General features: G+C 40.0%; 1 protein-coding gene across 5 annotated transcripts in view; it reads right to left on the bottom strand.

Annotated features, from left to right (window-relative positions):
• RESF1 (retroelement silencing factor 1) overlaps positions 1–11881 on the bottom strand; it is a 33693-nt gene that overhangs the window by 916 nt on the left and 20896 nt on the right. For 4 of the 5 annotated variants that reach the window (XM_011520722.2, XM_017019550.3, NM_018169.4 and 1 more), the window contains 2 exons: positions 6235–11314; positions 4870–4953 (listed from right to left, as the gene is read on the bottom strand). In XM_011520722.2, coding sequence (XP_011519024.1) covers positions 4870–4953; positions 6235–11236 — 5086 coding nt within the window. In that variant the 5' untranslated portion in view covers positions 11237–11314. Of the gene's footprint in view, positions 1–4869; positions 5009–6234; positions 11315–11881 lie in introns of those variants that run through there. The other variant, XM_006719099.4, reaches the window with a different exon arrangement.

The raw sequence follows: 11881 nt of genomic DNA, 5'->3' as shown, positions 1-11881 counted from the left end.
TTTCTTTTGGGGGCTGTTTTCTACTCCTGCCTCCTTGCCCCATCCTCATTGCCCTGGGCTGTTCTGTTCTACCTTACTCTTGGCTCAATAAAATGTATCATTGCATATCATTAGTATGAATGTGATCTTTTAAACAGCTATGTAAATTAGCAATACAAAGAGTACAAATATGAGTCAGTCCCAAACAATACATGAAAAGGATAGGTTTCATATTTTGGTCTTGCCATGTATTGGATATTCTAAAACATGTCTATAGTTTCCTGTTTCTTGAGACCATTTCAGTGTTACATTAGCTTCAGTGTCCTTTTTTCATAATGACCCATCACCTATTGAAAATATGTTGAGGCTGGGTATGGTGGTTCACGCCTGTAATCCCAGCACTCTGGGAGGCCAAGGCAAGCAGATCACATGAAGCCAGTTCAAGACCAGCCTGGCCAACATGGCGAAACCCTGTTTTGACTAAAAATACAAAAATTAGCTGGGCAGAGGTTGCAGTGAGCCGATATCACACGACTGCACTCCAGCCTGGGTGACAGAGCGAGACTGTCTCAAAAAACAAACAAACAAACAAACAAACAGAATTGCTGTATGGGTATGCGAAATACACTTTCTACTGAATGTGTATCACTTTCATACCATCACAGTCAAGAAATCCTAAGTCAAACCACTGCCAAGTCAGGGACTATCTGTACATTTCATTCCTGCTGCAGCTATTTTCTTCTGAATAATGGGGTCTTGTTTTGTCTTTTTCTACCTGAATGGGTGGAGTATTCTGTCCTGTTAGTTCTTTAGATCTGCTGCAGTCTTCCACTTTTTCGTTTGCTTTCTTTCAGAATTAGTAACACTGAAGCCCCAGATGGGTCTCTAAGTTGCTTTCCAAGAAATTCTTGTCATTTCCTCTTCATCTCTTTACCCTAACTTAGGACTTCAAGTTTGCTGCAACCTTTGCTACTGAATTTAGACATCTGTTTCTCCTGTGGGTTTTTTTTTTTTTGAGACAGGGTCTTGGCTCTGTTGCCCAGGCTGGAGTGCAGTGCTGCATCAGGGCTTATTGCAGCCTCAACTCCTGGGCTCAGGTGATCCTCCTTCCTCAGTCTGCCAAGCAGCTGGGACCACAGGTGCGCACCACTATGCCCAGCTAATTTTTTAAAAAGTTATTTGTAGAGATGGGATCTCCTGATGTTGCCGAAGCTGGTCTCAAACTCCTGGGCTCAAGCCATCCTCCGGCCTTGACCTCCCAAGTGCTGGGATGACACACATGGGCCCCACACCAGGCCAGATGTATGTTTCTTTATAGCAGATTGGGAGTTCATGGCATTTTTCTCTCACTTCATAGTTGGTTCACTGTTCTCCAGCCTCTTTGTCTAAGGTATATAATTCACTATTTCCCAGAGATCCCTTCTCCAGAACCAGCTTCACTCGCCCCTAATAGGCATTTAAAAAATGCCCATGTGGCCGGGCGCAGTGGCTCACACCTGTAATCCCAGCACTTTGGCAGGCTGAGGTGGGTGGATCACTGAGGTTGGAGTTCAAGATCAGCCTGGACAACATGGTGAAACTCTGTCTCTGCTAAAAATACAACAATCAGCCAGGTGAGGTGGTTCACGCTACTCAGGAGGCTGAGGCCGAGGCAGGAGAATCGCTTGAACCCAGGAACCAGAGGTTGCAGTGAGCCTAGGTCGCACCACTGCACTCCAGCCTGGGCGACACAGCGAGACTGTCTAAAAAATAAAATAAATAAATAAATAAAAATAAGTAAATAAAAATGCCCATGTAGCCATCACCTGAGATTTTTTTCTCCTCCCTTAGGTCTCACCTATTTGCGTCTTGTTGTGCCATGACAAAGCTGTATGACTTGTCTCCTGGACTGTCTCACCCAGCTTTGCCTTAGTGTACCTGGTTTGTGTTTTTCTTTCATCATGATTCTGAGTATTTCAGCCTCACATTCACCGTGCAGTGCTCATCCTGCTGTGCTGTCTGCACATGTCATTCAACTCATGCCTATCTCTGAAGCCTCTGGTCAATCTGTGTATCTGTCTTTTGAGTGTTTTCAGCTTCAGATTCCAAACATGCCTCTCGCTTTCTCTTTGAGATAATCATGTCTCTCCTGTTTCCAAGGAGCTTTTTTCTTACTCCAATCTTCGTACCCATTTGTATCTTTCGCATTTTTGGCTTTCTGCCTTCCAACCCGAGAGGCATTGTTTTCCCACTGTCAGGCCTCTCACTGCTCTTCATTCCCTCCTCTTTAGGTTATTTGTCCTGTTCTGATTAAGAGTATATTTCTTCATTGATGCAAGTTTTTCCCATATGCATGTTTCAATGCTAACTGACTTTTTTTTTGAGACAGAGTTTTGCTCTGTCGCCCAAGCTGGAGTGCAGTGGTCCGATCTCAGCTCACTGGAACCTCCGCCTCACAGGTTCAAGTGATTCTCCCGTCTCAGCCTACTGAATAGCTGGTATTACAGGCATGTGCCACTACACCTGACTAATTTTTATATTTTTAGTAGGCATGGGGTTTCATAATGTTGGCCAGGCTGGTCTCGAACCTCTGACCTCAGGCGATCTGCCTGCCTCGGCCTCCCAAAGTGCTGGTATTACAGGCGTGAGCCACCTCGCCCGGCCTCTACTCAATTTTTACACGCCTGCTTCTAAGTATTTGTTTGAAGCTCTCTTCACAACCGTTGTCAATTCCTTTTATAAAATGTGCTTCTTATTGTTTCTCTTGGTGAGTTTCTGCTGCTCTCCATTTTTGAGGCTCTGAACCCCTCTTTGCCTATTTTTTTTTTTTTTTTTTTGAGACAAGACTCTCTCTCTGTCACCCAGGCTGGAGTGCAGTGGCGACATATTGGCTCATGGCAAGCTCCGCCTCCTGGGTTCATGCCATTCTCTTGCCTCAGCCTCCCGAGTAGCTGGGACTACAGGTGCCCGCCACCACACTCGGCTTATTTTTTATATTTTCAGTAGAGACAGGGTTTCACCGTGTTAGCCAGGATGGTCTCAATCTCCTGACCTCATGATCCGCCTGCCTCGGCCTCCCAAAGTGCTGAGATTACAGGTGTGAGCCACCGTGCCCAGCCCCCTCTTTGCCCATTTAATGAACCAAAACTAAGACAAAAACTCTTGAGCTCTAGCTTTTAGTTTTCAAAGCCAAACCCTAACAACAAGGTACTTTCACTCCACTAATTAAATCATATATTCGGGTGGACACGGTGGCTCATGCTTGTAATCCCAGCATTTTGGGAGGCCGAGGCAGGTGGATCACCTGAGTTCAGGAGTTTGAGACCAGCCTGGCCAACATAGTGAGAGAAATCCAGTCTCTACTAAAAATACAAAAATAAGCCAGGCGTGGTAGTGTGCTTGTAGTCCCAGCTACTCAGGAGGCTGAGGCAGAAGAATTGCTTGAACCTGGAATGCAGAGGTTGCAGCAAGGCCGAGATCGTGCCACTGTACTCCAGCCTGGGAGACAGAGCAAGATGCCGTCTCAAAAAAAAAATCAAATACTCAAAGCTCTACTTTTTCTAGTTGGTCCTCAGCCCAAATCCCTTCCCAGCAAATAACACAGCTAGGACCGGTCTCATTATTAAAATACAGTCATCCCTGGGTATTGAAGAGGGACTGATTCCAGGACACTTCTGCAGCATCCACCCAAATAGATACCAAAATCTGGGGATGCTTAAGTTCCTTATGTAAAATGGCATAGTATATTGTATATAACCTAAAGCATACCCCCCACACATACCTTAAATAATTTCTAGATTACTTTTAATACCTAATACAATGTAAATGCTATGTAAACAGTTGTTATACTATATTGTCTTTTAAGTTTCTATTTTTATGGTTGTATTAATTTTTTTCCCAAATATTTTGGATCCACAGTTGCTTGAATCCACAGATACGGAACACGCAGATACGGAGGGCTGACTATACCTCAACCACACTTAATGGACTTTGAAAAGAGGGGACCAGATTCAAGTCCCTATTCAGTCACTAGCAATGAAACTTAAGTCAAATGATGTAACCTCTCATCTATAAAATGGAAATATCCTTGCCTAAATTGTATTGAAGATTAATCAAATTAACATGTAAATAATTGAATCCAGGGTCTGGCAAACTAAGTCCAGCCTGCTGCCTATTTTGGTAGATAAAGTTTAATTAGAGGCCAGGCACGGTGTCTCATGTCTGTAATCCCAGCACTTTGGGAGGCCGAGGCAGGTGGATTACCTGATGTCAGGAGTTTGGGACCGGCCTGGCCAACACGGTGAAACCCTGCCTCTACTAAAAATACAAAAATTAGCTGGGCGTGGTGGTATGCAACTGCAGTCCCAGCTACTTGGGAAGCTGAGGGAGAAAATCGCTTGAACCTGGGAGGCAGAGGTTGCAGTGAGCCAAGATGACGCCACTGCACTCCAGCCTGGGTGACAGAGTGAGACTCTGTCTCAAAATAAATAAATAAATAAATAAATAAATAAATAGTTAATCAGAACACAGCTGATACTCATCTACATATTATCTGCAGCCATTTCCCTGAAACAGAGTCAGAGCTGAGTAGTCAGGACAGACACCTTATGACCCAGAAAACCTAAAGTATTTGCTGTCTGGTCCTATACAGGTAAAATATGCAAACCTCTTAGCTAACTCATTGTGATAAGACTTATTTTCCTATTAAAATAAAATAAAGCTCAGCCTTTCATTCCACAGCACGACAACACAAAAATGTCCTCCTACCACTCAAACACAAACACTGAATGACTGAAAAAAAAAAAAGAACATGGATAAAATCATACTTTACAATCATATCATAACCATAATCCAATTTCCATATACCAGATAGGGAGATAAGTGAATGAAGATTTAAAAAGATGACTTTACCTCTCTCTTGGCTGTCTTTCTGTGTCCTTTTCTTTGTAGCAACAAATTTTAACCAGTCTTCTTTTGTACTTTTTATTCCTGAAACTATTTAAATATTCATTTTCAGAACTCTAGATATTGCTAATCATCTCCTTTAGTACTATAACAAAGGAAAATCATGTAAGCTGAAAATAGATTTTGAAAGGCCCTAGATATAACCACATGTAACACAACTCTAAAAAAAGGACTGGAAAAATGATTTCTATTTGAAATGCTTACCTCAATTAAAAAATGAGTTTATCTTTACTATGTAATTATGTTCCCCTCACATGAACTGAAGAGGTTAATACATCTCCAGATATTAAAGGACACATGAGATAGAAAACTACATTGCCCCCACCCACTTCCAATGTTCCCATTATATCCCCACCTCAAATTCCAAGGATCCAAATGAAAGAACCTATTGAAATCACCAATTTTTTACAAAATGAATATATCCCTATCTTCTTTTCCAGGAAAACATATCCTGTTTATGCTATTGTTTTATGAACCCCAACAAATATAGTCAGAAAAGCAGAGCAAAGACTTCAATTTCCATTCAAATCCTTTAGTTTTCCAATCTTTCTCAGCACAATGCTTTACATATAATATCCACTATGTCTAAATGTTCCCTTAGTACCATGAACAACTAGTTATCAATTTTCTCCTTCCTTCCTGCACTACATTGAGAAGTCTACCATTAAGCTACCTAATATTCATAGCTGCCAGCTTGGCTTTAAAGATTTTAAATTATAACACTGGACAATACTGCTTTCAAGGTTCTTCTATCTTATGAGTAGGCTAGATGTTACCATTTTAAATATAGTGATAACACAGCCATCAACTGTTTCAAAGAGGACAATTAGTTGACCCATTTCCATATGAACAAAAAGACTTCAGTATTCATCATTACTTATCCTCTAACATTCAGAACAAAATTTCAAGTTCACAGGGCTTTCAAATTACAAGTCCAAAGGAGAATTAACAAAACCAAGACTCTTACATTACTAGCTACTTGACACTTTTCTGACATTCCCACAAGGAATGTGGAATGTTTTTCACAGTACAGCCTTCTTGGTACTAACTGAAATATTTCTATCTGGCAAGTTTTACATATAGCTCGTCATGACGACCAATTTTCTACAATTTACAATAAGGTGGCAATGAACACAAAACAAATATTGCCCAATGAAACATTGGTTTACCAGGCAAAACAAATACTAGGTAGTGGCATAACACATTAAAGTCTTTCCCAGCAGCCCAAGACAGCATGAGAGGTGCTAGCCCAAATATTGACCTACGACTCTTTACAATATTGTAGACACCACCAAGAAAATCATACTGGACCTTGCAGAGGGGCTTGCTCCTTCCTAGGATGAGGCTTTACATCCTTCCGTTCTTCCACAGAGTTTGTATTCTTTAGTAAGATATCTGGACATAATTTAAACTCCAGCATGTTTGATTTTTCTGTGTTACCTTTCACCGGTAAAAAGGTCTTATGTTTATTTTCCTGTCTCTTATCTTTATGAAGCTTCCTGGGTGAACTTTCTAATTTGGTGAGAGAAATGCTTTCACGTTCAGTGCATTTAAACCCAACTCTATTCAGATATAATTTCTTTTGATCCTTTACTTGGGGAGGCATTTGGCTGAATTGAGCTTCGTTGCTTATATTGGTTAATTTGTCTAATTTAGTCTTATCAATCCATATTTTATCAGGCTGCTTCCCACCAACTTTTTCTTTAACATTCCTTAGAATGTTGTATGTTTTAGACTCCTGAGAATGGTGGATTTTGAGGTTTTTACCATGGCTTGTCAAGCCATTTAATGATTCTTTAGAGGTCTGCACGCCGCTGCTGTGTTTCTCATTTGATTTCCCACAACTTTCAACCTGCACGGCAAGTTTACTTGGTCTCATATGTTCAGAATCACATGGCACGTTTTTCACACAGATTTTCTTCGATGCTTTATTACTCAGAGCTTCTTTATGCTTCTGCCTTTGTAAATACTCCTTAGGAGTTAGAATTCTACTAAATTTAGATGAACTCGCTTTCGTGTCTACAGACTTAGTATTTGATACCATCTTTTCTTTAACAATGGCTCTTTCGTTTGGGTTTGACAAAGAGTCACCTAATTTGAATGTAGCTCCCACACTTCCTTTCTGTTCTTGTTTATCATGTTTCTTTTTCTTTACTTCCATATCTAATACGTTCCCTTGGTCTAACTTTCGTTTTTGTTTGAAGCTAACTGATTTGAGTTTCAATTTTATCTTTTCTGGTGATAATGACTGTCCCAAAGAACTATGCTTCTTATACACATCTTTATTTGGCAAAAAAGCTGTTTTTGTTTTTAGTGGACGTGAGTTCTGTGTTACATGTTTCTTCTGTCGGGTTTCCTGAGAAGCTTGTTCATAAGATGCTGTCATTTTATTACTGGAGTGAAAGGTTACCTCGTGAAACCTCAATTTTTTTCTTTTGTGATTTTGCAAGGGATTTAGTTTATCACATTTAGATGAAAACTGACCAGCAACTAATTCTTGTTCTGTCCTTGGTAAGCTTTTATGTTTTGTTTTGGGTGTATCTTTTCTACTGTCGTCTTGTAGTTCAGGAAAATGACTTTTCCCATCTGGAGGAGTCTTTGGATTATTTACAAGGCTCTTAAATTGAACAACAGTGACATCTCTATCAGAAGTTCTCTCTCCTTGTTTACAACTGTTGGTATCCAAAGGAGAACACTGCTCTTTTTGTTTCTCTTCCTCTGAAGATGAGTTCTTGATGGAATTACACTGACACTGGGGTACTCCTTCGTAAACCATGGAGAGCCAGCCCAATGCACAGCAGTGGATATCATCTTTCTCAGAGTCCAGTATCACAGAATCACGACTTTGTCCAGCTGCAGGTGCCTGCAGGTCACACTGGCTAACTACTTCTGTGATGGGCTCTTCTTTCTGAGGTTCTGCCAACTTGTCTACTACATAGGGTTGATCATCCTGTTCAGGAAATATTTCTTTCATTTGCTCTGAGCTTAATATTGTAATTTGTATTTGATCTGCTGGGTCTTTGGAGTCAGAACTGGTTTTATCAGCAGTTTGATCTTCTGAGGTCTGGTATGTAGTTTGCTGGCCCACAGAACCTTCACGTGTATTCACAGCCTCAATGCCATAAGGAAACTCTTTTAGAAGTTCTGACAGCTGGTCATGTAGGTATAAGACAGGTGCCTTATCACTGTGGATTTCATTTCTTGCAGGATCTTGGGGAGTATAGTTGCTGGATGCATCTATTTCCTGAGGGTAAATATCCTCCTGAATAGCAGCTGACGAGCACGTATCGTTAGCTGTGCTTTTTTCAGTGGCATGCTCCAAACTACTTTTCTCTAGAATAACTCTGTTTGTTTCAAGATTGTTAAAAGATGACTCTAAGGGTGGCTCTGACTTTGACTGATCACATATTTTATGTGAAACATCTGTGCACTGTACAGGTTTATCTTTTTGAAAACCAAAGTCTTTATTTTCAGTGGTATTATCTAATTGTTTTTCTGGTTCTCTGCTGCCAATCCCTTGCTGATTGGGTAGAGAAGGTTTCTGTGGCTCAACCATTTTCAAGGGAAGAGAGCTGAATATCTTTGCTATTTGGGAATTGTAAGAGGTATCACCTTCAACCAGAGAACAAATATTGTCAATCTGTAATGTATCACTACTCACAACAGTACTATTCCTTGACTCCTGTGAGATTTGCTGATCGTTCATAGGAGAATGGATAGCTGACTCTAATTTGTTATGCTTTCCTTGATTGACATTAGGTGTGACTTCTGAATTACCATTAGTTGACTCATTCTGCTTTTCCTTCTGAGTTAGTGGAAAAATCTTGGTTGATGTTGCTGTACTTGCTACTGGTCCACTAACATCAACTTTCAAAGCAGCAGTTGCCTTTGCATTTTCTGCCAATTGATTTTGTAAACTACAAACACTGCCTTCTTTAATAACGGGATACACTGTTTCAGGTAACACTGCAGGTGTTATTCCTTTGACAGACAATGTTTTGACCTCTGACAGAACTAACGGTGACACTACAGCTATCTGAAGTTCTGTTCCCTTTGTTATATTTATACCTGAAGACTCATAATTGTGCATTACCATCGACAAAGCTGTCTGCTGTGAGGGATTACTTATTTTATTCTGAGAATTTGAATTTCCCACAACTGAACAAGGACTCTTAACGTGGATGTTAGCAGGCTTTGAAATTCCAACTGCTGTTGTGTTTGTTCTGAGTTTATCACACTCCTTTTCTTTTGCAGTATCTGAAGGTTGCTTTTTCCACAGGGAAAGACAGGTTGCTAGCACTTCCATGGAACAGCTACTGTCACTTTTAGCAGGCATTCCTTTTGTTGAGGATTCTTGTCCACTGCAAAAGGAGTTGTCCAAAACCCTGCCACTTACATTAGAAGTACTTGGAGTTTCCATGTTCTTCAAATTCAGTTGGTTACCAGTCATTTGGGTATTTGGATTCATTTCACAACTGTCTGGTTTAGAATCCTGAATAGTTTGATTAGCATCTTTTAATACTGTCTTCTGAGTCTTACGTGCCTGTGAAAGCAAAGCGAGAAGTAGCATATTTTCATTTTGAATTTTTGATTTATATTCCTCAGTGGACATGGACTTGGGAACAGAAATTGTTTCACAAACTGCTGGTGAATTTTGCTCAACTTTGGTAACATTTTCTGATGAAAGCTGAGTATTCAATACTGCCTGGGTCATCTCAACAGCTGATGTCTTTGAAGTGAGAACTTTCACATCATGAGATGAGTCTGGCATTGGCCGCTTTTCAGAATAGACAGGATTTGGTAAAACAGAATCAACTTGGTTAAACCTTCTGCAATTGACTTCCTGAATGTCAGAATTCAACATACATTGAGTCTTATTTGTTTCTGCAGATTCCACTACTGTTGGTGTTTGTCTCTCTGCATTCTCTGGCATTACTGGAGTTATCTGGGGTCCAGACTGGATTTTGGCAGTTTGTTTTAGAGACAATTTAGAATTCTGAGCTGGTTCACTATAAGAAGTATTAGTCATTTTAATACAACCTGCTGCCATCAAAAGATCTTTATTGATTTTAATTTTCCTTGCAAGTTCTGAAAACTTCTGTTTTATCTCTACTAATGTTTTAATATCCCTTACTAGCTTTTCTTTTGCAACACTTGTGTCCAGTACTTGATTTGAAGTTGGATTGCAAGAATCCATTATTTTCTCTTCATTAGTTTGAGCAAGAGTCTGAACACCATCCACAGAAGATCTAATGGGACTGTTAAAAGGCTGTTTGCTGTTGGTATTTACTTTCAAGTTAGTGAAATTTCCAATTGTGCTGACATTTTCATTAGGGTTTTGCCACTGCTGTTGAAAGCTGGTCCTTATTTCAGATGACAGCATTTCTCGACTCTGAGGAACTTCCATAGACAAGTGTTTAGTAATATGCTGAGTACTTTGCAAAGGCTGGCTTCCATATCTACAGTTGTAAGGAGGAGGAGGAGGTCTTTTGTCAGTTTGCGTGGCATACTGCTGTGATGGTACAGCTGAGGTCTGCCTTGATGGTAAAGTTAATACAGAATTTAGAAGCTGACTATTTTTAACTTGCAATGATGTATGTGGTATAAAGTTTTGTTTTTGAATGGTAGAATCTGGTAAAAAGCTTTGTGGTGAGTAACGGTATAGCTTTGGAGGTGGTCTGTAATCTGGGTAAGTCAGTCCCTTAGATATACACTGTTGTGTCCAATCAACCTGTTGCTCTGAAAAAGACTGGTTAAGTCCCTGATTTCCTTGGTAAGCTACAGGAAGTCGTGTAGAATTAGAAGGGATCATCTGCATTTGCATAGAATAGGTATCTGATGTTATCAGTTGACTCTGTAGTGCCGGCATATTGGGTACGTTAGCTCCAAAATCAGTTTGATGAGATACAGTTGCCCCTATATGAGAATGCACAGGATTCCTCATTGGTGAGTTCAACCATACGTTTTGGGTAACTCCTGAAGACATCTGCAAATTGTGAGTTAGTTGTTTGGGTCCATTAACATTTGCATATGTTATTCTTTCTACTGAAGTGTGTGAGGCCACAACTGTCCCATTATGCATATCAGAAACAGAAATTTGTTGAGGATAATTTTGGATATTCAGCAGTGGCTGTGAAATTGGATTTGAATTACCGGGATACATGCATGCTTCTTGGTTACTTCCAGGATAGCTGAAAGAACTCTGAGATGTTGTGGTAATTTGGTTTATTAAAGACTGGTGCAAAAAAGGTGGCTGGCTTTTAGGATACAGTGGTGGTAATGTAGCACTCTTTGGTTTTTCATTCCAATTCATTGTCGGTTTGATATAGTAGCAGTGTATTACAAGTCAGTTATAAGTCAGTTACAAGTCAGTTGTCTGAATGTCAGGAATCTGTAAGAAATAAAGATATTTTATTAAAATGCTGTTTTGCCTAGATAGAATATCTAAGAAAATTAGTAGCTGACTGTCCATCCTAATTACTGAATCTTCAGAGCAGCCTCATCTTTAATTTGGGAAGAAGAGGAGCAATAGAGGATACAACAATAAATAAGGCAAGTGTCAATGAAATTTCTAACGTGTTTAACAGAAATTCATTCCACACAATGACAGCTAGCTTTTTGTTACATTTAAATGCCAATCACCTTCTGTTTTTACTTATTTTTAACAGACTTTCTTCTAAGTAATCCATGCTAACTGCATTTTTTAAAAAAGCTAACATGACAATAAAAATGAGAATTTAAAAAAAAAGGGAAGTTCAAACATATGGTTAAAAACATTCTCATTGTTCATTCGCAAAGTCTAAACTCCCCAGGGCTATTCAAGGTTACCTTAATGAACTCAGTAAATTTCTGGCATAAGGCCGGGTGCGGTGGCTCATGCCTGTAATCCTAGCACTTTGGGAGGCAGAGGCAGGTGGATCACCTGAGGCCAAGAGTTTGAGACCAGCCTGGCTAACAT

Source organism: Homo sapiens, chromosome 12 (assembly GCF_000001405.40).
Source record: "Homo sapiens chromosome 12, GRCh38.p14 Primary Assembly".
Taxonomy (NCBI): Eukaryota; Metazoa; Chordata; class Mammalia; order Primates; family Hominidae; genus Homo; species Homo sapiens.
Note: the sequence above shows the minus strand (reverse complement) of the source record. Positions and strands in the feature narration are given on the sequence as shown.